Raw genomic sequence first — 23758 nt, 5'->3', positions numbered from 1 at the left:
GAGGCACAAGGATCGCTTAAACCCACAAGGCAGTTCAAGATCACGCCACGGCACTGCAGCCTGGGTGACAGAGCAAGACTCTGTCTGAAAAACAAAACAAAAAAACATTATTTATTTATTTGGAGATAGAGTCTCATTCTAGTGCCCAGGCTGGAGGGAGTGCAGCAATGCTATCTTGGCTCACTGCAACCTCCGTCCTGGGCTCAAATCAGTCCTCCTGCCTCAGCCTCCCGAGTAGCTGGGACCACAGGCACCTGTCACCACACCTGGCTAATTTTTGTAGAGATGGAGTCTCACTATGTTGCCCAGACTGATCTTTAACTCCTGCGCTCAAGCAATCTGTCCACCTCAGCCTCCCAAAGTGCTAGGATTACAGGCATGACCCATTGCAACCAGCCCAGGAATTCTTTTTCTTTTTAGTAGAGACACTACGTTGCCCAGGCTTGTCTCAAACTCCTGGGCTCAAGAAATCCTCCCACTTTGGCCTCCCAAAGTGTGGGATTATGGGGGCGAGCCACTACGCCCAGCCTTGTTTCAAATTCTTTAAGGAAGTAACACTTCATCACTACGTTCCTCATTCCAAAGACTTGGCAGTGGCCTGGGACACTCAGTCATTACGTAATCTGAAGTTCAATGTTAAACATGCTCAGCCAGGCGCAGGCTCCCACCTGTAATCCCAGCACTTTGGGAAGCCGAGGCAGGCGGATTACTTGAGGTCAGGAGTTCGAGACCAGCCTGGCCAACATGGTGAAACCCCGTCTCTACTAAAAATACAAAAATTAGCTGGGCATGAAGGCACGTGCCTGTAATCCCAGCTTCTTGGGAGACCGAGGCAGGAGAATCGCTCGAACCTGGGAGGTGGAGGTTGCAGGGAGCCGAGATCACGCCGCTGCACTCCAGCATGGGCAACAGAGCGAGACTGTCTCAAAATAAAAAAAAAAAACGCTCACCTGCCCAGCTCCACAGGTGCCCGCTCCTAACACTGCATGAGGACCACCTCTCATCCAATATGGGCTTCCCACACGTCTGGAGCCTGACAGCTCAGCTTTCAGTTTGGGTTAGGATATCTGCCCTTGTCTCTAAGGAAAAATTCTAAATGTGTTCCAATACATCTCTGGTAGCTTTAACAAAAGCCACAGAGACACAGCCTGGAAGATGTCTGATGTGCATTTCCTGCCAGTGTGCTGTGTGACTGCATCTGATATACGAGACACACGAGGAAGGTGACCGTCTGGACTGAACAAGGAGACTATAAACATAACTGGGTGAAGAGTCTCCCACCCTGTTGCTAAGCAGGAAATAGAAGGCTTCTAGAAACTGCAGGTGAATCAGATTTCTTCAGCCGCCGTTGGATACTTTCTCCGCTCCCCAACCCGGTGTGCGGGACTCGGAGGTTCCAATGAGCTTTAAAAGTGCTCTTGTTCCAAAGAATGAGATAAACTGTAAAAATAAAAATCAGGCTGGGCGTGGTGGCTCACACCTGTAGTCCCAGCACTTTGGGAAGCCAAGGTGGGTGGATCACCTGAAGTCAGGAGTTTGAGACCAGCCTGACAAACATAGCGAAACCCTGTCTCTACTAAAAATACAAAAAATTATCCAGGCGTGGTGGCTCGTGCCTATAATCCCAGCTACTCGAGAGGCTGAGGCAGGAGAATCGCTTGAACCCGGGAGGTAGAGGCTGCAGTGAGCCGAGATTGCACCACTACACTCCAGCCTGGGCAACAGAGACTGTGTCTCAATAAAAAAAAAAGTAATAAAATAAAAATCAACCCCAAATCTGAAACACAAAAACTCAGTGTGGCCATCAGGAAGCTCAGGAAACGCCCAGTGAACATCAGGGAGCTCAGGAAACACTCAGTAAACGCAGAGCCCATGGTCACCAGGCCCCTCCTGTGAGCTGGCACTGCATAGGCAAAGCCCAGAGGCCTTCCCTGGAGTTTTGGTTTGTTTCGGTATGACATGATGTTCAATTTCTCTAACCTTTAAGCAATAAGTAAAAAGTCCCCTGCGGCCAGGTGTAGTGGCTCAGGCCTGTAATCCTAGCACTTTGGGAGGCTGAGACGGGAGGATTGCCTGAGCTCAGGAGTTTGAGACCAGCCTGGGCAACATGGTGAACCCCATCTCTACTAAAATACAAAAAAAAAAAAAAAAAAAAAAAATTAGCTGGCTATGGCAGCAAGTGCCTGTAGTCCCAGCTACTCGGGAGGCTGAGGCAGAAGAACCGCTTGAACCCGGGAGGCAGAGGTTGCAGTGAGCCGAGATCGTGCCACTGCACTCCAGTCTGGTGACAGAGCAAGACTCCGTCTCAAAGACAAAACAAAACAAAAGCCCCCTGCATTGCTGTGTGGAAAACGTGGTGATGCCCCCCACAGAATAGGAGACTAAGCAGAGAGTCACTAAAGGATAACCACCCATCGAGTGTAGAGGCTATTCAGATGTTATAGCACTTAGCAATAAGTGAAAGACACAGGACTGGCCAGGCGCGGCGGCTCACACCTGTAATCCCAGCACTCTGGGAGGCCGAGGCGGGCGGATCACGAGGTCAGGAGATCGAGACCATCCTGGCTAACATGGTGAAACCCCGTCTCTACTAAAAATACAAAAAATTAGCCAGGCGTGGTGGTGGATGCCTGTAGTCCCAACTACTGGGGAGGCTGAGCCAGGAGAATGGCGTGAACCTGGGAGGTGGAGCTTGCAGTGAGCCGAGATCGCACCACTGCACCCCAGCCTGGGTGGCAGAGCGAGACTCTGTCTCAAAAAAAAAAAAAAAAAAAAAAAAGAGACAGGACTACAAGGAAATGGACTGGGTTTTTGGAAGGTAATTTGAAGCTACAATGGGATACTGAACCATTAAGACAGTGGTAGCACTATTGATAAAAGCTTAGAAAAGGCCACACACAAAACCTTAGGACTCACTCAGCAAGCCAAAAAATGACACAATCCACAAACCATGAAGTCCAAGTACTTAAAATGAAGCAGGAATCAAAATGATGGTCAGAGAAGGCTGGGGAAAATGTAAAAACTAGACCAAAGGAACTTCAAAGGGCTTTGCTTACTATTTAATGCAAAAAGCACAGCAGGTTAATTTTCTATTTCAGGGAAAATGTCTTACTCTTTGCAGTCTGAGCTTGTTCTTCTCTGTAGAGCCTTTGACGAATTTCTTAGTTATCTGAAAACAGAAGACGTTTATCTTTAAACACGGGTTATTTCAATTGCTTCGAGAAAAAGAGAAACCTTTCCAGGTGATCAGTTTTTCCACCAACAGAACCAAAATGTCATAATAGGGTCACAAACTCCAGTAAGTGTGCATACATGTGTGTATCTGGGATTAGATAACAAGAGAGACTACGGAGGCAGATAAAGAAATGAGTGAAGGACACCAAGCACAAGAAAAACAAGGCAAGCTCAGAAATAAAGGCAACAGACAAGGCTGGGCGCGGTGGCTAACGCCTGTAATTCCAGCACTTTGGGAGGCCGAGGCAGACAGATCACCTGAGGTCAGGAGTTCGAGACCAGCCTGGCCAACGTGGCAAAACCCCATCTCTACTAAAAATACAAAAATTAGCCGAGCGTGGTGGCAGGTGCCTGTAATCCCACCTACTCAGGAGGCTGAGGCAGAAGAATCGCTTGAACCCAGGAGAAGGAGGTTGCAGTGAGCCGAGATTGCGCCACCATACTCCTGCCTGGGCAACAGGGTGAGACTCTGTCTTAAAAAAAAAAAAAAAAAAAAAGCGACAGCTGGCCTGGGCGACAGGGAGAGGATGGATTTGTAGCAAAGGAGAGAGGACCTGCCTGTCCAAAGGAGATGGAGTTCTTACAGGAATATAGATCCCTATTTGCTGGTCCTTCCAATTTCTCCAAGAGAAGCTGATATTAGGAATTTCATATGAATTTTTTTAGGTGTTTAAAAATGGACACAGACGGGCACAGTGGCTCATGCCTGTAATCCCAGCACTTTGGGAGGTCAAGGCGGGAGGATCACTTGAGCCCAGGAGTTCAAGACCAGCCTGGGCAATAAAGCAAGACCCTGTCTCTAAAAAAAGCTTTTAGTTAGTCGGGTGTTGTGGTGCACATCTGTAGTCCTAGCTACCCAGGAGTCTGGGGTGGGAGGAGCCCGGGAGGTTGAGGCTGCACTGAGCTGTCCAACCTGGGTGACAGAGTGAGACTGTCTAAAAAAAAAATAAAAAGATACTAAATTAATCAAATAAAACATGTCTCCAGGCTGGTTTCCTGTGCACCACTAATTTACATTCTGTCTAGCTCAACTCTGCTTTTTATTTTAATGTTATTTTTGAGATGGAGTCTTACTCCTGTCACAGAGGCTGGAGTGCAGCGAGTGCCACGATCTCGGCTCACTGCAACCTCTACCTCCCAAGTTCAAGCGATTCTCCTGCCTCAGCTTCTTGAGTAGCTGGGATTATAGGCGTGTGCCACCACACCTGGCTAATTTTTGTATTTTTAGTGGAGATAGGGGTTTCATCATGTTGGCCAGGCTGGTCTCGAACTCCTGACCTCAGGTGATCCACCCGCCTCGCCTCCCAAAGTGCTAGGAATTCAGGCGTGAGCCACCGCGCCCAGCCAACTCTGCTTTTTAGAATGTGGAGTGAAAGCTTAAGACAAAAGGGAAACTTGCTGGGGTTTTCTAGGACTTCTACCTTCTAGGGCACAATATTTTCTATCACCTACCTTCAAACTGAGCATGAGCTACTAGGAATTACCAATAGGATCCATGGTGTGACTCACCATCCACCTAAATGGTCCCAGGAAGGAAGACGAACAGGGAGTCTGGACTTTGGCCTAAGCTATCTCCCACCGGGGCAGGGAATCCTGAAAACCAAACTAGTAGAAGTGAAGAGCAATGGGAAGAGACGCTTAAGAGTGGGAAGAAATAGTTCTCCGGGTTCATTGCAGACTTGCAGTGTAAGACTGAAGTTGACTGAAAAACCAAAGGCCCATTTTCCTGGCAATGGTCTGAGGGGTCAACAAAATTATGTAAGTGATTTCTTTTTTTTTTTGAGACGGAGTCTCGCTCTGTCGCCCAGGCTGGAGTGCAGTGGCGCCATCTCGGATCACTGCAAGCTCCGCCTCCCGGGTTCAAGCGATTCTCCTGCCTCAGTCTGCCCAGTAGCTGGGACTATAGGTGCCCACCACCATGCCTGGGTAATTTTTTTGTATTTTTAGTAGAGATGGGGTTTCACCATGTTAGCCAGGATGGTCTCGATCTCCTGACCTCGTGATCCGCCCGCCTCGGCCTCCCAAAGTGCTGGGATTAAAGGCGTGAGCCACCGCGCCCGGCCAACAGTGATTTCTTTATCTGGGAAAGCTGAACCCCTGACTAGGACCTCTCACAGAATAAAAGCTTCAGATGAATGAGCTCAAGACAGCCTTTCCACCTGGGTCCCACTGAGTCCTTTCTGGACTAAACCTTTCTTTAGGGAAAGGCCGAGCCGTTGTGAGAAGGCTGCCCGTGTTGGCAGGAGCTCTTTCACCACCGAGATCAGGCCAGGGTGTTCAGTCTTTGCTGAGAATGTGGCAACAGAAATGCCAGCCCGAGGCAGCCTCACCAAATGCTGCAGAAAAAGCATCTGTCTCTCCAGCATCTACTCTGCCTGCCAAGGCTGTGTGCCTCTCCCCCACGCTGAGGGATTTAACTGCAGAATATGGGAGCCGCAGCTCTCCGGGGCTGCCCTTTGTGTTCAGAGATTATAATACGGAATGTGGTCTTGGGGTGGCGGGGAATTCAGTTCCTTAGTCTTGCCCATGCCTGAAGCTCAGCTGCAGAATCTCCTGCCTCTTACAATGCCCCCCCTCTGCTGTGAGTCCAGAGATAACAGACTTGATGTGACTGGCAAGAGCCCGCTCAGTAATATCCAACAACCAAAACAGAGCAATTACTGCTTAATTTAAAACTGGTATCTTTTTTGCTTTGCCAAACCCTCAGATGGACCTTGAAGTCTGACAGAACTTTATCTTCTTGAAATTTGACCCAAGTGTTTATAGATCTCACTCTCAAAATTCTATGCAACACTCCCACATTCTACCCAGCTGGAGCCCGGTCAGACAGCACCCTCAACTGCCAAAAACGTGATCCAGGATCCCAGAAGGAAGCCAAAACACAAAAACCGACAATCCCAAGGAGTCGCGACAGAGCTCACTATGTGTGGGCATGAAAATTCCTGCACCCTTTCTCAGATAATCCTCTCAGAGCCTATGGACTCTGATTTTATACTAAAGGGTATCTAATTTCTAAGCCCAGACCAGATAAGCCGCTAAAACCTGACAGCAGGGGAGCGGAGGCAGGGGGGAAAAGAGAAAACCTCCAATTGGCCCAAGCATGAGAGAGTGCAAGCTGGGAAAATAAGAACGCACGCATTGCCTTGAGCTACCAAGACCTCATTCTCCTTAACAGCCCAAGGCCACTTGTAGAAGGAAGCTCAAGGGAACAATCATTTTGTGAAAGCCAAGCACAGAAACAGCAGAACTGAGAAAACAGCTCTGTAACCTACAGCATGTCCACACCATGGGATATCACGCAGCTGTTAAAAAGAGCTCCATCTTTCCATCCCAATATAAAAAACATCTAAGACACCCTTGAGTAACAAAGACAGATATTTACAGTATATGTCATACACAAGGAAACAAAATGATACTGGGTGTTTCCTAGAGATCTCTCTGGATATACAGGACACAGAAAAACACAAGGTGATGATGATGATAATAATGGCAACCTCCTGGGAGAACAGAGGGCTTCAAGGTTTCCATTCTTTTTCCTTTTTGTTTTTTTTTTTTTTTGAGACGGTCTGGCTGTTGCCCAGGCTGGAGCACAGTGGTGCAATCATGACTCACCGCAACCTCTGCCTCCTTGGCTCAAGTGATCCTTCCACCTCAGCCTCCCAAGGAGCTGGGACTACAGGTGTGCACCCCCATGCCCCGCTATTTTTTGTATTTTTTGTACAGACGGAGTTTCACCATGTTGGTCAAGCTGGTTTCGAACTCCTAAGCTCAAGCAATCCTCCCACCTCGGCTTCCCAAAGTGCTGGGGTTACAGGCTTGAGCCACTGCACCTAGACCAGTATTTCTTTTAAACATGGAGAATTTATTACAAATGTAATTTCAAGTATATGGAAAGAAGTTCCAGCAATCTGGGCACAGAAGCAAGCCAAAGATTCCAGTAACACAACTGCACCAACATGATCATTTGTCAAATAATCATCTCGATCACTAACAGAAGAGGCTAAATCACAAGTCTGATTGCAAACTTCAGAAATGGTTCTTTCCCACATGGTAGAAAACTCTAATACTAAAAAGGAACACTTCAGCTATTCAAAGGACCCTGGGAGTATCTAAAGGGGGATCTTTTTAAATCATTGTTTCTCCAAAGTGAGATTCTCCAGATCCTGCAGTACTAAAACAACAACAAAAACCAAAACAAACAAAAACACGCCATGAAGCTCCCTGCAAAGGGACAGCAGGACCTGTATCGGAACAAACTCCCATTTTCTTTTATTTTAAAGAAGAAATAATAAAGAAGGCAAGCCAGCCCACAAAGTACAGTGGCAATGACTGCCCTGGGACTCTCAATGCATATTTCACTGTACCAACTCAAGGAAGAACAGACCCCAGTGACAAGCACACAGATTACACGGCAGTGCGAAACAATCTGCAAGCTTCCCACCAGCTCGCCCCTGCAATCTGGAAAGAGCTGCTGGTAGGGAGGTAAAGTGCAAAAACAGTGTATTCCCCAGAGGAACAGGGGTTGTGGGAAGGGGGTGGCTTGGACGTCACGGCAAGGAAAGGTGTTAAGAGTTAGGTACCAACTGGCCAGGCGCGGTGGCTCACACCTGTAATCCCAGCACTTTGGGAGGCCGAGGCGGGCGGATCACGAGGTCAGGAGTTCGAGACCAGCCTGTCCAACACGGTGAAACCCCATCTCCACTAAAAATACAAAAATTAGCTGGGCCTGGTGGCGCGTGCCTGTAATCCCAGCTACTTGGGAGGTTGAGACAGGAGAATTGCTTGAACCCAGGAGGCAGCGGTTGCAGGAGCCAAGATCACGCCATTGCACTCCAACCTGGGCAAAAGAGTGAGATTCCGCCTCAAAAAAAATAAAAAATAAAAAAGAGTTAGGTACCAACTATGAAGCAAGCAAACCAACCAAACCAGAAATGCAGGACTCCTTAAAGGTTCGGAGATAAAGTAGGGGTTGGGGATGGAGTCTCTCTCAGCTGGGATCTCAGGGATCCCTGCCATCAGGGCATGAGGAGGCCTCCCGATAATCGCTTCCCTCATAGCTTCGGTGACTGACAGGCCCTCTGCGGGTGGTTGTGGCCGCTTTCTGCCATAGGCTCTGGGCCAGCCTGAAGCCTTTACCACTTGTAAATTATCTGAAAAGTTGGGATAATATTGCCTTCAAGTGCATCCCAAAACCTCGAGTCTGTGTTCAGAACAAGATCTAGCGTCCTAAATGCAGGGTTTCCTAAATGTTGCACACTGGGTTCATGTGCTCAGTTGTTTTAGAAAGCGGGCAGGATTGTGCCACCATGATGCCCAACGAGGGGACTTCCCAGTTTGCAGACTAAGCTGTGGACATGGAAACAAACTTAATGGAAACATGTGCTTGTGTCCTGTCCTTTTTTTTTTTCTTGAGACGGAGTTTTGTTCTTGTTACCCAGGCTGGAGTGCAATGGCACGATCTCAGGCCACCGCAACCTCTGCCTCCTGGGTTCAAGCGGTTCTCCCGCCTCAGCCTCCGGCGTAGCTGGGATTACAGGCAAGCGTCACCATACCCAGCTAATTTTCTGTATTTTTAGTAGAGACGGGGTTTCTCCATAATGGTCAGCCTGGTCTTGAACTCTCGACCTTAGGTGATCCACCCGCCTCGGCGTCCCAAAGTGCTGGGATTGCAGGTGTGAGCCACCGCGCCCAGCCATGTGTCCCGTTCTTGCTAAATGGCTCACATCACAGGACGAAATTTTGCAAAGCGGCAGCAGCCTGGAAGAAATTCAAGTGATCGAATGTACACTACAGGATGCCCAATGGGGAGAGACTTCAACTCTGATTTTGGGAGATTGAGTGGTGGATTAGGTAGAAGCTGAAATGTGTACATGCCAGTCTGGCACATTTAGTAACTTAGAAGAGGGTACTAGGCTTAGTACCTGAGTGATAAAATAATCTGTACAACAAACCCCCACGACAAGAGTTTACCTATATAACAAACCAGCACATATAAAACAAAGTAGAAGACTGGGGCGGTGGCTCATGCCTGTAATCCCAGCACTTTGGGAGGCCGAGGCAAGCGGATCACCTGAGGTCAGAAGTTTGAGGCCAGCCTGGCCAACATGGTGAAACCCGTCTCTACTGAAAAGATACAAAAATTAGCCAGGCGTGGTGGTGGGCACCTGTAATCCCAGCTACTCAAGAGGCTGACGCAGGAAAATCGCTTGAACCTAGAAGGTGGAGGCTGCAGTAGGCTGAGACCATGCCATTGCCCTCCAGCCTGGGCGACAGGGTGAGACCATGTCTCAAAAAAAAAAAAAAAAAAAAAGATTTGCACCATTTTTACAACATTTCATAAACCTAAAGAGGAAGCCATTTTTTCCTTTTTCATCTTCTCAGGTGAAAGACAAGAAATGAAGTCATTCAGAAAAATAAATGCTCTTGGCCAAGCACAGTGGCTCACGCCTATAATCCCAGAAACTTGGGAGGCCAAGGCGGGTGGATTACCTGAGGTCAGGAGTTTGAAATCAGTCTGGCCATCATGGCAAAACCCCGTCTCTACTAAAAATACAAAAATTAGCTGGGCATGGTGGCGGGTGCCTCTAATCCCAGCTACTTGAGAGGGTGAGGCAGGAGAATTGCTTGAACCCAAGAGGCGGAGGTTGCAGTGAGCTGAGATGGCGCCATTGTACTCCAGCCTGGGTGACAGAGCAAGACTCTGTCTCAAAAATAAATAAATAAATGGTTCCTTAGAGCTCAAAATCCCGAAAGCGAACAAGGTTGGTGGTTTATGGTCCAGGTGGTCTACTGTACCTGCTTACAGGTACAGATTAAATGACCCATCTCAGGATCTACTACTCTCATATAAAGACCCAACATGAACAAACAAAAGTGCTACAAAACCAAAAACATAAAAAGGCACTGTCTCTTCTGGTTCTACATACTTAAGATAAAAAGTAAAAAATTATAAAATCAAAAGACACCACTAAACACCGTGGGACTCGTGACTGATTTTATCAGTTTGGTCCCTAAGACCTTAAGGACACCATTGTGCTAATAAAAAATCAATAACAGAGACAGACCATGCAAAAGTCCCCCTTATGGGGTCCTTAAAAATGGTTCCAGATGGGGTCTCGCTCTGTCACCCAGGCTGGAGCGCGGCAGTGTGATCATAGCTCGCTGCGGCCTCCAACTCCTCAGCTCAAGTGATCCTCCTGCCTCAGTTTCCCAGGTGGCTGGGACTACAGGCATGTGCCACCATGCCTGGATAACTTTTAAAAATTTTTTTGCAGGGCTGGGTGCAGTGGCTCATGCCTATAATTCCAGCACTTTGGGAGGCCAAGACGGGCAGATTACTTGAGGTCAGAAATTCAAGACCAGCCTGGCCAAGATAGTGAAACCCTGTCTCTACTAAAAATATAAAAATTAGCCAAGTGTGGTGGTGCGCACCTGTAATCCCAGCTATCAGGGATGCTGAGGCAGGAGAATCGCTTGAACCTGGGAGGTGGAGGTTGCAGTGAGCCGAGATCACGCCACTGAACTCCAGCCTGGGTGATAGAGTGACTCTGTCAAAAAAAAAAAAAAAAGTAATTTTTTTTCATAGAGATGGTGTCTATGTTGCCCAGGTTGGTTTTGAAGTGATCTTCAAGCGATCCTCCCACCTCGGCCTCTCAAAGTGCTGGGATGACAGGCATGAGCCACTGTGCCTGGCCCCAGGTAAGGTTTTTAAGATGGCTGGCTGTGCTGACCCTACAGAATTCCCCAAGTCATGCTTCCTGCCGTCTCACTGCCACTTCAGTGCTCAGTGTCTTTGCAGCCCCGTCCCTACATTTCTATGCTTAGACAGGAAGGGCACAGAGAAAGCTGGACCTCGAATCTGAAGTGAGGGGTTACAGCACCAGCTCAGATCCTAATTCCCTAAAACGGCTAAGCTATCACTGATTAGATGTGAACAACGAAGGCAAAACAGCAGGGTGTTATTCACACAGTACACCAGGTACACTGTTGATGAATTAAGTCCCAGGGGCATCACAACGAATGCAGAACTGAACACTGTGAGTTTTGATACCAGGAAGAACTCCACGTCGAGTCCCAGGACCCAGCCCGTGGCCCCGCTCACTCTGCCACAAAACACCTGGGTGACCCAGTGGAGACTGACAGCGCTCTGAGATCCGTGAGCACTGATGTGCAGGGACTCCATGGGAGATACTCACTCTGCGGAGGGGCGTGGAGGTGGGGAAGGGACTGGTACTGCTGTGCTGCTTTGGGGGAGCAGGCGGCCCCTCGGGCGAGCTGGTGGAAGAGGGAGAGCTCAGGGACGAATGGCTGAGTACAGAGTCTTCTTCGGGGAAAGATTCCAGCACCTCACTCTCAGGGGTCATGTTCTTGCCTTGGGGTGTGGCTGGAAGGGACTTGATTTGCGGTGGTCTCACAGCCAAGATGTCCTGCAAGACCACCATAGGCACCTTCCCTTTGAACAGGATGCCCCCAGCTTCACTCCAACTGTCCTGCTCCTTTCTGGGGCACATTCTCGGGCCACTCGTCAGCTCCGGGCAGCTCCGTGGCGAACATTCCTGGGAGTCGCCTCTCCTCCCTGCACCTCCACAGCCAACACCCTCCTCCTCTGTTTTGCAAGGAATGTCTGAAAGGGTCTCTCCAGGAAATGCCAACTTGTCGTTCTGAATGGCCTTCAACAACCCCTGCTGATCCCCAGTGTCTTCTCGCTGGCCATTTATTGCCTCCCTGGAGGGAGAGGCTTCAGAATTTAGTTTATTGTGGTCCACAAGACTGTCTGGCTGCTCATTCGAGTCCTCTGTCAAATCAATGATGACTGTGCTCTGGCCAATACTGGTTTCGATTCTATTTCTTAAAAAGTTATCTAAGGGACCCTTCCCGTTGACAAGTTTCGGTCTAAAGTCTATGTCAGAACCCACATGACAGTTGTTTTCCAAGGTGTCCAAAGAGGCCTCTAAATCGGGGCTTTTACTTTGCACAGAAGTACCCTGATCGTCTGACATGTCATCGGCTTTCCCCTTTGGGACAAGATTCAGGCGCTTAAACGGCAGACGGGCTGAAACAAAGACAGAAAGCCATCTCTAGTGAACGTTTAAAGTTACAACCACTCATGAGCTTGAAAATTACTGATTTGTTGGGACATGGGGGTGGGAGATAATTTTAAAGTTTAAAAAGGGACTATCTGGGCCGGGTGTGGTGGCTCATGCCTGTAATCCCAGCACTTTGGGGAGGCCGAGGCAAGCAGATCACAAGGTCAGGAGTTTGAGACCAGCCAGACCAAAATGGTGAAACCCCGTCTTTTCTAAAACTACAAAAATTAGCCAGGCCATGGTGGCACACGCCTGTAATACCAGTTACTGAGGAGGCTGAGGTAGGAGAATCGCTTGAACCTGGGAGGCAGAGGTTGAAGTGAGCTGAGATCCCAACACTGCACTGTAGCCTGGGCGACAGAGACAGACTCCCTCTCAAAAAAAAAAAAAAAAAAAAAAAAAAAAAAGGCCGGGTGCGGGAGGCCAAGGCAGGCGGATCACAAGGTCAGGAGATCGAGACCATCCTGGCTAACACGGTGAAACCCCGTCTCTACTAAAAGTACAAAAAATTAGCCGGGTGAGGTGGCGGGCGCCTGCATTCCCAGCTACTCGGGAGACTGAGGCAGGAGAATGGTGTGAACCCGGGGGGCGGAGCCTGCAGTGAGCTGAGATCACGCCACTGCACTCCAGCCTGGGCGACCTGAGCGAAACTCTCAAAAGAAAAAAAAAAAAAAAAGACGGGGCAGGGGCTATCTGAAGCCAGGTACACTGACTTACATCTATAATCCCAGCACTTCGGGAGGCTGAGGCAGGAGGATCGCTTGAGCCCAGGAGGTAGAGGCTGCAGTGAGCTGTGGTGGTGCAACTACTCTGCAGCCTGGGCAAAAGGGACCTCGTCTCAAAAAAAAAGAGGGGGTGGGGGGTGCTATCTTTTCATTCTATCCTTTTCTAACATCCTAATTTTACTTATTTTTTTTTCTTTTGGAGACAGTCTTGCTCGTCACCCATGTTGGAGTGCAATGGCGCCACCTCAGCTCACTGCAACCTCCACCTCCTGGGTTCAAGCTATTCTCCTGCCTCAGCTTCTCAAGTAGCTGGGATTACAGGCATGCACTACTACACCCAGCTAATTTTTGTATTTTTAGTAGAGACAGGGTTTCGCCATGTTGGCCAGGCTGGTCTCAAACTCCTGACCTCAGGTGATCTGCCCGCCTCCACCTCCCAAGGTGCTGGGACTACAGATGTGAGTCACCATGCCCCGCTTCAACATCCTAACTTAAAAAACAAAATCCTGACAAGCCTTTTAGCAGAGCCATCGCCAGAATTTCAAGAGACATTTGTTTATTTCAGATGCAGTTCATATTCCAAATTTATTTTTAATGGGTGAAAATCTCATTTGATAATAACTGCATCTGGTTCTCAAGTAGAAAATATAGACACATTTGTGGACAGGGTTTTTTTTTTTTCTCCTGGCCTCAGCACCCTAGGCTCTGTTAGGCTTTTCTCATCAATCAAACTGTTCTCCCAGAGTCTGCCAGGCTTCGGGCTGGTTAGGAGGAACACAGAAACACTTTGGAGAGTGAATTTCCCAAAGAACCTATGTTCACTTACTTCAATGCCATTGCATCTTTTATTAACTATTTCATCATGTAATAGACCAAATAAAAACCTGTTTTTTTTTGGGGGGGGTGTGGGGGGAGTTGTTTGTTTTGAGACAGAGTCTTGCTCTGTCACCAGGCTGGAGTGCAGTGGCGCACCCTTGGCTCACTGCAACCTCTTCCTTCCGGGTTCAAACAATTCTCTTGCCTCGGCCTCCTGAGTAGCTGGGACTACAGGTGCCCCCTACCATGCCCAGCTATTTTGTATTTTAGTAGAGACGGGGTTTCACCATGTTGGCCAGGCTGGTTTCAAACTCCTGAGCTCAGACAATCCGCCCACCTTAGCTTCCCAAAGTGCTAGGATTACAGGTGTGAGCCTAGCATCTGGCGTCCCCCTTTTTTTCAAGAGACAGAGTCTTCCTCTGTCATCCAGGCTGAAGAGCAGTGGTGTCATTATAATTCACCGCAGCCTTGAACTCCTGGACTCAAGCACTCCTCCCACCCCAGCCTCTCAAATAGCTGGTTTTACAGGTATGCAACACTGCACCCAGCCCAAGTTTGAAAAACCCAAAACTGTAGTTTCTAAAAATACAATCTGGGCCGGGTGCGGTGGCTCACACCTGTAATCCCAGCACTTTGAAAGGCTGAGGCAGGGGGATCACAAGGTCAGGAGATCGAGACCATCCCGGCCAACATGGTAAAACCCCATCTCTACTAAAAATAGAAAAATTAGCTGGGTGTGGTGGCACGCGCCTGTAATCCCAGCTACTTGGGAGGCTGAAGGAGGAGAATTGCTTGAACCCAGGAGGCGGAGGTTGCAGTGAGCAGAGATCGCACCACTGCACTCCAGCCTGGGCAACAGAATGAGACTCCGTCTCAAAAAAAAAAAAAAAAAAATTACAATCCAACCGCTCATCTGGCCCAAGGGTGAACACACTCCCCGTTTTATGCAGAAGGATTTGGGAGCATTTATCTTCCAGGACAACAGTGGTTCTCTGAGGGGGCAGTTCTACCTCCCAGGGGACATCAGCCACGTATAGAGATATTTTTGGTTGTTACGACTTGGAGGATGCACTTACTGGCATCCGGTGGGAAGAGGCCAGGGATGCTGCTACGCTCCCTACAACATACAGGAGAGCTCCCAGCTGCAAGTTACAAAACACCAATCGTGCATAAGTGGAGGCCTCGGGGTTTACTTGTGGGAACCCCACGAGACATTACTGTGTGAAAAGCATTTTCCCAGCTTCCTGGTCTGAAGAAGGACTGTTTCTCTCCCCTCTAGCTCCAGGCTTCCACTGAGGTCTCCAACAAGAGACAAGGAAGACTATAAACTACGAACAACTCTTTAACCCATTTCCAAATAATTACCTTGTATTAACTTCTTAACTGGAAAAGCTGGTCTATCTTTGCAATCCATGGCTGCAAATAAAAGTGTCAAAGGGTAAACTGTTAAATTCTGCAAATAATCAAGTTAGCAAATACATATGTAGAGCCAATTATGTACAAGGTGGAGGCAATTCTGACCCCTCTGTCCTCGGGGGCCATTTGACACAGTCTAGAGATGTTTTTGGTTGTCATGATGCAGGGAGGGCTCAAAGGGATGCTATTCACATCCAGTGGGTAGAGGCCAGGGATTCTGCTAAATGTCCCACAATGCAATGCACAGCACACCACAATGAAGAATTATATGGGCCAAAAAAAAAAAATTTTTTTTTTTTTTTTGGAGACAGAGTCTCACTCTGTCGCCCAGGCTGGAGTGCAATGGCACAGTCTCAGCTCACTGCAACCTCCGCCTCCTGGGTTCAAGCGATTCTCCTGCCTCACTCTCTCAAGTAGCTGGGACTACAGGCGCATGCCACCACTCTCGGCTAATTTTTGTATTTTTAGCAGAGACGGGGTTTCACCATGTTAGCCAGAATGGTCTCGAACTCCTGACCTCGTGATCCACCCGCCTCAGCCTCCCAAAGTGCTGGCCACGGCGCTTGGCCTCAAAATGTTAATAGGTTGAGAAATCCTACCCTAGACACTGTCATGTCTTGTTTTATTTTCTTTGTGGCATTTAATCTGAAACTTTCGTGTTTATTACGTCTCTCTGGAAACAAAATGCCAACTCTATGACAGCAGAAAGACTTGTTCCATGCTGCACCTATGGTACCTGGTTAGGGTCTGGAATAAATCAGAAAGCCAACTAAGAGAGTAACCGGAACTGTTTCATGAAATGAAAGTGGAATGAGTAAAAGTAGGGAGGAGAGAAAACATCAGATTACCTATTTCATTCCCATGATCCCCAAACATCTTCCTCCAACCCAAGCCCCCATACCACCACCAAATCTGTAAAATCAGAAAAGGGATCCTTTTCTTTTTAAAGAGAATTCATGAAGGTACCACAATTTAAAGCACTTTGAGCTTGCCAGGCAGGAGCTGAAGTGCTGTCAAGAGAAGATAAGACAAAATATTTTCCTGCAAAAAAAATCTCAAGAAACCATCTAATAATATCAAAGCAGATGCAGCAGTGATCATAAATAGAAGCGAGTCTTTAGATAAATACCTTAAACAGAGTAAGTTTAGGAAGCTCACACTTACCAGGAGATCTGGCTTGGCAAAACCTAGTTTAGTTATTTTGGTTAATCTACGTATGTTTTGTAAGCATTACATAAAAGTGAGTACTTTTTAAAAGCAGACTGGGGCTTCCTAAAAAACTCCATCGTCCATACATGAAACCACCCCTCACCCACCGCCCCAAGCTTAGTGAATAAGAAAAGGTACTGAGAAAATTCATGTTTCCTTTCTAGCCACTTCAAAGAAATAAAGACAGTATCATTCTCAAGTGTCCACTTACCAAAAGCCATGGATTTCTACCCCCTAACTGAAGGATATGATTTTTAGTCACTTAACTTTATTTTCGAGACAATCACAAAAATCTATTTGTGTGGCTTTGAGTCACTAGCTTTGGTGCAAGTGGAACAGAAACAACCTCATTAAAAACAGGACCCACCCTCATTAAAAAATCTTGTATATAAAACGGGACACTCCCAATCCAGAGATCCAAAGATACACACGATTAACACATATGTGTGTATAAAGTTACTAACTGCTCTTTATTCTGCGATTACATCCTTTCTAATTTTATTTGGCACTAAAATATACTTTCCTTTCATGATAGCATGGTCCTAGCGAGTAGCGATTTTTTTTTTTAAAGTTAAATATCCTGGCCAGGCATGGTGGCTCATGCCTGTAATCCCAGCATTTTGGGAGGCCAATGCAGGTGGATTACCTGAGGTCAGAAGTTCGAGACCAGCCTGCCCAACATGGTGAAACCCCGTCTCTACTAAAAAATACAAAAATTAGCCAGGCATGGTGGTGCAGGCCTGTAATCCCAGCTACTTGGGAGGCTGAGGCAGAAGAATCGCTTGAACCAGAGAGGCAGAGGTTGGGCAACAGAGCAAGACTCAGTCTCAAAATAAATAAATAAATAAAGTTAAACATCCTGACTTAAAACATCACAGCTCCACGACAGTACCAACTTTATATTAATTTTATGTCTCCGGGAAATCCCACAGGCTAGAAGGAACTACAGCCATGATTTTCAGCCAAGGCGGAATCTGCCCCATAGGGGACACAGGGCAATGGTATTTCTGGCTGTTACTAAGGCATGGTGAGAGGGGCTGCTACTGGCCTGCAAAAGGCGGAGGCCAGGGATGATGCTTAACACCCTGCAGTGCCGTGCCCAGGACGGCAACAAATATCAACACTGCTGAGGCTGAGAAACTGGACTGGCGTCCATTCTAGCCCTTCATTCGTTCACGTTATTTACTGAGCACCTACTATGTGCCAAAGCGTAATGCCAAGTGCTGCCAAAGCGTTATGTAATGCAGAGTCCAGCAAGGGAGAGGGACAGTCTGGTCTTCCTTGGTTCACCCTCCCACGTTTCAGGAGGCCTGTGGTGGGCTCCAAAGACCCCATTCCAAGGCACACGGAGGAGGAAGTCACGGTGCATATCAGGAAGGAGCAAGAACTCGGGAGTCCCACCCTCCTGGCCATCTCTACCATCTGGGCCTCTTCTTACCCGGGCTTACCCCGACCCTCAGCGGCATCGGTACTGGTCCCCGAGCCCGTGCGACCTTGGGCCTCAGTTTCCCCACCCGCTGCAAGGTCCAACATGGTCAAGGGACACAAACGCATCCAGTAACCTGCAGGGCAAGCCCTTTCGCTTCCCTGGGCCTCAGTTTCCCCTCTCGGCCCCTCCGACCCACCGCCCCAGAGAGTCCTGGAGGGACGAACTGACGCAAAAGCGCCGGAAACAAACAATATGGTCGCGGCTACAACAATAACGTCAACAAGGGTGCCCTTGGGGACGCCAGGCCCTCGCTGGGGATGAGAAGGCCCCAGGGGGTGAACGCCCGGCCCGCAGGACCAGGCTTGGCGCCCGGAGGCCCGTCCGCCTCCCATCGCCGCCTCGGCCCGTCCAGGCCGCGCGCCGCGCCCCCCCTTCCCCTCGGCGCGGGCCCGAACCGACCTGTGGCGGCTCCCCTGGCGCCGGGCGCCCCGCACTCCAGCTCCTCCAGCATCGCCCCGGCGGCAGCTCGACCTCCTCTCAGGCGGCGGAGGCGCGGGCTCCCCTCAGGCGGCCGCTGCTCTTCGCCCTCCCGCCCGCGCCGCTGCTGCCGCCGCGGCCGCCGCGCTCGTATTTGGCGGGAACCGCGGCGACCCCCGCAGTCCGCGCGCCAATTGGGCGAGCCCGGGTCACGTGACGGCCCGCCTCGGGAATTGAGGGGCGCCGGGGGCATCCTCGCGAGATCCGTGACTTCCATTCCTCCCAGGGCTCGCCCATTGACATATCCGCGAGGGACTGGGCTTCCCCTCGGAGGCCTGTCATTGGCTGGGAGGAGCTGCCCTGCGATTGGAGGAAGGAGGTGTCAAGCTCATTGCTCTGCGCTGCGACTGGCTGATCGCGTGGGATAGTCCCTAAGAGGAGGGAGGCCCAGGCTCTTACGTCACCAGAACATTTTACGCAAGGCGCAGATGACAACTTGAAAGTGGGATTTAGATGAGGAACCTGGAGTTTTGAGTTTATCCTAATGGGACATCGGCTAAATATAGCAACAGCAATTAAAATTATAAATTGCTTTCTACAAGAACAATAAAACGAAGTCTGGGGAGCGCTTCGGAAGTATTTGACATTCAGTAAATAACATGTAGAATGAGTGAACGAAATGGACGAAATGGATCGTTTCTGGTTTAATCCTCAGGAAATTGGCACATGCTGTTTTCTCTGCCTAGAACAATCTTTTCGCAGCTCTTTTCCTGGCTAATTTATACTTTTCAGATCTTAGATCGTCACCCCAGGAAGCCTTTTCTTCCCCAACCCTGACAATATCAAGTGCCTACAACACTGTTCTTTTCCTTAAAGCAATTACAGCTGTGTCTATTTATTAGTTTGTTATTTGACTAATGAATTAATTTCTGCCTTTTGTCATTAGTTCTGGCGAGGGTAGGACTCATTCCTCACTGGAACCCCAGGACCTGTTAGTAACTGATCATATTTACCAGGTCAATAAATGTTTGAGTGAATGTATAAATATTTGATTGAACTGTGTAGATCAAGCAGATTAAAAGCCTCACACAAAACAGAGAACTTCAGTGTCAGCCTGTGAGTGTAGAAACAGGTTTTCTTTCTTTCTTTCTTCCTTCCTTCCTTCCTTCCTTCCTTCCTTCCTTCCTTTCTTTCTTTCTTTTTTCTTGAGACGGAGTCCCTAGTAGCTGGGACCACAGGCGCCCGCCACCACGTCCGGCTAATTTTTTCTATTTTTTAGTAGAGACAGGGTTTCACCGTGTTAGCCAGGATGGTCTCAATCTCCTGACCTCGTGATCCGCCCACCTAGGCCTCCCAAAGTGCTGGGATTACAGGCGTGAGCCACCGCCCCTGGCCCTGAATTGCATTCTAGAAGCATCTTTCTGGCTGCCATGACAAGGAAGAATTGGAGGGGAGGACTGGTGGAAAGTATGGTCAAGGCATGAAGACAGACCTAGATGTCTAGATGTGTCACGTGGGCAACTGAATGGATGAACACAGGACAGAGAGAGAGAGGAAGAGAGGTGGCCGGGCACGGTGGCTCATACCTGTGAGACCAGTACTTTGGGAGGCTGGATTTGGTGGGGGGGTTGGGGGTTGGATCACCTGAGGTCAGGAGTTCGAGACCAGCCTGGCCAACATGGCGAAACACTGTCTCTACTAAAAATACAAAAATTAGCCTAGCATGGTGGTGCGCGCCTGTAATCTCAGCTACTTGGGAGGCTGAGGCAGGAGAATCGCTTGAACCCGGGAGGCGGAGGTTGCAGTGAGCCGAGATCACGCCACTGCACTCCAGCCTGGGAGACAAAGCAAGACTCCGTCTCAAAAAAAAAATAAATAAATAAATAAAAATGGGAGGGGGCTGAACACTTAGACGAACTGGATTTAGCTAAGATGAGTAAACAGGAATCTGAAGAATCGTAAGCAGGGGCCCCTTCTACTTCCCAACCTCCCTGGCCAGGTTTAAACTAAGCGCGTTTTCCAAGACGTTAGGGTCACCTCCACGACTCCAGGGGGCGCTGCAACTGCTACGGCCCCTCTAGGCTCGCCCCGCTCAACTCACTGACAGAGGCGGCCTCTCCCGCGGTAGACAATGTGCACGTGCGCTCTTCAGCCGGCAGAGGGCGCGCGTGCGCAGACGGGGCCGGGGGCGCGCGCGGGGGCCGGGGGCGCGCGCGGGGGCCGGCACCGGAAGCGTGCGGTTGCCATGTAATATCCTGGCCGCGCGGGCGCGCGAGCGGCTGAGGCGGCGCCGGGGCGGGCGCGGAGCTGGCAAGCGGGTGGCGGAGGCGGCGCCGACGGGGACTGCTGAGGCGCGCAGAGGGTCGGCGGCGCCCGGGAGCCTGTCGCTGGCGCGGTCCGGGCGGGAGGCTCGGCGGCGGGCGGCAGCATGTCGGTGGCGGGGCTGAAGAAGCAGTTCTACAAGGCGAGCCAGGTGAGCGCAGGCCCAGGCGGGAGCCGAGTACCGGGCCCCGGGCTGCCCGGATGAGGGAGCCAGGCCCGACCTGGCCCGGGAGGGGGCCGGGGGGACCGAGGTGGGGACGTTGGCGCGTGTCCCCTGCCAGGTGGGAAGACCAAGGGACGGACGGGGGCGACGAGGTGGCCCAGGCCCTGCCCGCCATGCGGGCTCCAGAAGCGGGGACAGAGCCCCTGGGAGGAGGGGAGAGGCACCCTGGGCTGCCCAGGGACGCGGACCTCTCCCCTCCTTCTCTCCGCTGCAAAGGCGGGGTGCGGGGAGAGAAGGGGAAGAGAGGAGTCCCGAGGCTGTCGACACAGGACTCTTGCCAGATAACCCAGAGCCAGGGAAAAGTTGCGTCTAGAGCAGTTACGTTCAAAATCCTCTGGATGGGCAAGGTACAAAGTTGAAAAGGTAGAGGAAGAAGTCAGTTTCCCCTCTCTGCTCCTCGGGCAGCCAGCCCTTCTCCCCAGAGACAAGCGACTGTCATCGACTCCGTATGTCCCTTTCCTAAGATACGTGTGTGCCTTTCCTTTAAAAACACGTACCCTGTGATAGCATATGCCACAGAATCCTGTGTGCTGTGTTTTTCATTGCTTGGAGATCACACTGGAGCGGGATTTCTCCCCCTCCGTCGGCACTGTTGACATCTGGGGCTGGATTGTTCTCCGTGGTGGGGCCGTCCTGGGCACTGCGGGGTGCTGAGCAGCGCCCCTGGCCTCCACCCACTCCGGGCCAGGAGCACCCCCAAGTCGTGACAACCAAAAATATCTTGAGACATCACCGTGTGTCCCCTTAGAATCAGTCCTCCTTCCCTCCCTTCGTTCCTTCCTTCCTTCTTTCCTTCCTTCCTCCCTCCCTCCTTGCCTCTCTCCCTCCCTCCCTTCTCTTCTTTCCTTCCTCCCTTCCTTTCCTGTCCCCCAGGACTACTGCTCTAGACCATACTCCACACTTCTTGGATTTTTTTTTTTTTTTTTTTTTTTGAGAGGGAGTCATGCTCTGTCGCCCCAGCTGGAGGGCAGTGGTGCAATCTCGGCTCACTGCAAGCTCCGCCTCCTGTGTTCAAGCAATTCTCCTGCCTCAGCCTCCCCAGTAGCTGGGACTACAGGCATGCGCCACCACGCCCGGCTACTTTTTGTAATTTTAGCAGAGACAGGGTTTCTCCATGTGCCCCAGGGTGGTCTCGAACTCCTGGCCTCAAGTAATCCGCCTGCTTCGGCTTCCCAACATGCTGGGATTATCGACGTAAGCCACCTGCCTGGCCTACTTGGCTCTTTTTAATGGGTACATTGTATTTCATTCCATGACATATACCATAATTTATTTAACCAGTTGTCAGTTGATAGATATCTCTATTGTTTACCGGAATTTTCTGTTACCATTACTACAATAAATAGCCAGTGAATATCTTTGCTCACCAGTGGGATTAGTTTTATAGGATGAATTCCCAGAAGTAGAATGCTGCATCCCAGCCTAAGTGCATTTGATATGGACAGATAAAGGGTTTTTTTTGGAAACTCCAGGGCCCACTGCTCATGAATCTGGTGAAAGCTGTGGATCCACTCTCCAGAAAACTGGGCACATTTAAAATTTTCACTTTGCAATTTCGAATGCAAGAAGCCTCAAATTTGGCCGGGCGCGGTGGCTCATGCCTGGAATCCCAGCAGTTTGGGAGGCCGAGGCGGGCGGATCACTTGAAGCCAGGAGTTTGAGAGCAGCCTGGGCAACATGGCAAAACCCCATCTCTACTAACAATACAAAAATTTTGTATTTTTGCCTGTAACCCCAGCTACTAAGGAGGGTGAGACAGGAGAATCTCTTGAATCCGGCAGGCAGAGGTTGCAGTGAGCCGAGATTGCACCACTGCACTCCAGCCTGGGTGACAGAGCGAGACTCCGTCTTGAAAAAAAAAAAAAGACAAGAAGCCTCAGATTGTTGAATCCTATTGGTCCGTGTACTGCAGGGTGAGGTTGTGTGGAATTTGTGTAGATAGAGTCCACCGAGGAATGAGCAATGATCTTAGCAAATGCTTGGGCCAAGGTGGCAAACAGGGTTCTCTGCCCACAGTTCGGAGATGCCCAGTGGGAGCAAAGAGAAACGAGTCCCCAGTAACACCCAGCAGGTACCTTTGCCCCTGGAAAGAAAAAAGTAAGGACCCTGCCAGGTGCTGTGGCTCATGCCTGTAATCCCAGCACTTTGAAGGCTGAGGCAGGGGTTCCCTTGAGTTCAGGAGTTCAAGACCAGCCTGGGCGATATAGGGAGATCCCATCTCTACAAAATATGAAAAAGTTAGCCAGGTGTGGTGATGTGCACCTGCAGTCCCAGCTACTTGGGAGGCTGAGGCAGGAGGACCACTTGAGCCCAGCAGTTCAAGGCTGCAGTGAACTATGATCGTGCCACTGCACTTCAGCCTGGGCAGCAAAGTGAGACCCTGTCTCAAAAAATAAATAAAAAAAGTAACAACCCTAGTGGTTGTTTAGGGATATAGATACTTAGGGTCTATCTCTACACCCCAGATGATGGTTAAACCCTGGAGAAAGATTTAATCCAGACGAATTTTAGAGTTGTCACTGAGAACAGTCCCACCCCCTTGCCCCAGCACTTTGAAATCAGATGGCCTGGCCCTGGGTTAGACCTTGCCCAGCAGGCGTCAGACCTTCACCTGCTTGGTTAGAGCACCATAGAGTACTGCTCCCTAGCAGGAAAGATGTCCTCAGAGGTCTTGGAGGAATTCCTGGGCCACTTTGTTCCCTGCTATAGACAGGTCTCTGGAAGCCACCACCCCCACTCCCAGCGATCAGGGCCTGTGCCCATATTGTCCTGAGCTGACACCCTCTTTAGAGGAATGAACCAGGCCTCTTGTGCCGGCCAC

General features: G+C 49.8%; 2 protein-coding genes across 13 annotated transcripts in view, besides 9 other annotated features; one reads left to right on the top strand and one right to left on the bottom strand.

The window, feature by feature from the left end:
* The window catches only part of CHAF1A (chromatin assembly factor 1 subunit A), a 48191-nt gene extending 29642 nt beyond the window's left edge, over positions 1–18549 (bottom strand). For 4 of the 9 annotated variants that reach the window (XR_007066505.1, XR_936135.3, XM_011527605.3 and 1 more), the window contains exons 1-4: positions 18375–18549; positions 15227–15277; positions 11430–12286; positions 3113–3169 (exon numbers count right to left, since the gene is read on the bottom strand). Coding sequence is in view for 3 of the 9 variants with exons in the window: in XM_011527605.3 (XP_011525907.1) it covers positions 3113–3169; positions 11430–12286; positions 15227–15277; positions 18375–18426 (1017 nt within the window). In the remaining 6 variants the exon portion in view is untranslated. Of the gene's footprint in view, positions 1–3112; positions 3170–10665; positions 10685–11429; positions 12287–15226; positions 15278–18374 lie in introns of those variants that run through there. The other 5 variants (XR_007066507.1, XM_011527607.3, XM_047438011.1 and 2 more) reach the window with 4 other exon arrangements.
* Positions 7385–8383: an enhancer, noted in NCBI's record as "H3K27ac-H3K4me1 hESC enhancer chr19:4412803-4413801 (GRCh37/hg19 assembly coordinates)". NCBI's record gives its function as "activates a minimal SCP1, AML or CMV promoter by ChIP-STARR-seq in naive H9 embryonic stem cells {active_cell/tissue: H9 hESC(naive)}" and the evidence as "EXISTENCE:reporter gene assay evidence [ECO:0000049][PMID:30033119]".
* Positions 11058–11869: an enhancer, noted in NCBI's record as "OCT4-NANOG-H3K27ac-H3K4me1 hESC enhancer chr19:4409317-4410128 (GRCh37/hg19 assembly coordinates)". NCBI's record gives its function as "activates a minimal SCP1, AML or CMV promoter by ChIP-STARR-seq in naive and primed H9 embryonic stem cells {active_cell/tissue: H9 hESC(naive and primed)}" and the evidence as "EXISTENCE:reporter gene assay evidence [ECO:0000049][PMID:30033119]".
* Positions 11870–12681: an enhancer, noted in NCBI's record as "OCT4-NANOG-H3K27ac-H3K4me1 hESC enhancer chr19:4408505-4409316 (GRCh37/hg19 assembly coordinates)". NCBI's record gives its function as "activates a minimal SCP1, AML or CMV promoter by ChIP-STARR-seq in naive H9 embryonic stem cells {active_cell/tissue: H9 hESC(naive)}" and the evidence as "EXISTENCE:reporter gene assay evidence [ECO:0000049][PMID:30033119]".
* Positions 17396–18091: an enhancer, noted in NCBI's record as "NANOG-H3K27ac-H3K4me1 hESC enhancer chr19:4403095-4403790 (GRCh37/hg19 assembly coordinates)". NCBI's record gives its function as "activates a minimal SCP1, AML or CMV promoter by ChIP-STARR-seq in primed H9 embryonic stem cells {active_cell/tissue: H9 hESC(primed)}" and the evidence as "EXISTENCE:reporter gene assay evidence [ECO:0000049][PMID:30033119]".
* Positions 18092–18789: an enhancer, noted in NCBI's record as "NANOG-H3K27ac-H3K4me1 hESC enhancer chr19:4402397-4403094 (GRCh37/hg19 assembly coordinates)". NCBI's record gives its function as "activates a minimal SCP1, AML or CMV promoter by ChIP-STARR-seq in primed H9 embryonic stem cells {active_cell/tissue: H9 hESC(primed)}" and the evidence as "EXISTENCE:reporter gene assay evidence [ECO:0000049][PMID:30033119]".
* Positions 18302–18581: a silencer, noted in NCBI's record as "silent region_9889". NCBI's record gives its function as "represses an Ori minimal core promoter by ATAC-STARR-seq in GM12878 lymphoblastoid cells {active_cell/tissue: GM12878}" and the evidence as "EXISTENCE:reporter gene assay evidence [ECO:0000049][PMID:35858748]".
* Positions 20452–21281: an enhancer, noted in NCBI's record as "H3K27ac-H3K4me1 hESC enhancer chr19:4399905-4400734 (GRCh37/hg19 assembly coordinates)". NCBI's record gives its function as "activates a minimal SCP1, AML or CMV promoter by ChIP-STARR-seq in primed H9 embryonic stem cells {active_cell/tissue: H9 hESC(primed)}" and the evidence as "EXISTENCE:reporter gene assay evidence [ECO:0000049][PMID:30033119]".
* Positions 20544–21053: a silencer, noted in NCBI's record as "silent region_9888". NCBI's record gives its function as "represses an Ori minimal core promoter by ATAC-STARR-seq in GM12878 lymphoblastoid cells {active_cell/tissue: GM12878}" and the evidence as "EXISTENCE:reporter gene assay evidence [ECO:0000049][PMID:35858748]".
* SH3GL1 (SH3 domain containing GRB2 like 1, endophilin A2) overlaps positions 20642–23758 on the top strand; it is a 40178-nt gene continuing 37061 nt past the window's right edge. For all 4 annotated transcript variants that reach the window (NM_001199943.2, NM_001199944.2, NM_003025.4 and 1 more), the window contains exon 1: positions 20642–20865. In NM_001199943.2, the coding sequence (NP_001186872.1) occupies positions 20821–20865 (45 nt within the window). In that variant the 5' untranslated portion in view covers positions 20642–20820. The remainder of the gene's footprint in view (positions 20866–23758) is intronic.
* Positions 21114–21163: a silencer, noted in NCBI's record as "silent region_9887". NCBI's record gives its function as "represses an Ori minimal core promoter by ATAC-STARR-seq in GM12878 lymphoblastoid cells {active_cell/tissue: GM12878}" and the evidence as "EXISTENCE:reporter gene assay evidence [ECO:0000049][PMID:35858748]".

The sequence above is a fragment of the Homo sapiens genome, chromosome 19, assembly GCF_000001405.40.
Source record: "Homo sapiens chromosome 19, GRCh38.p14 Primary Assembly".
Classification (NCBI taxonomy): domain Eukaryota; kingdom Metazoa; phylum Chordata; class Mammalia; order Primates; family Hominidae; genus Homo; species Homo sapiens.
This window is presented reverse-complemented; position numbering and strand designations above follow the sequence as displayed.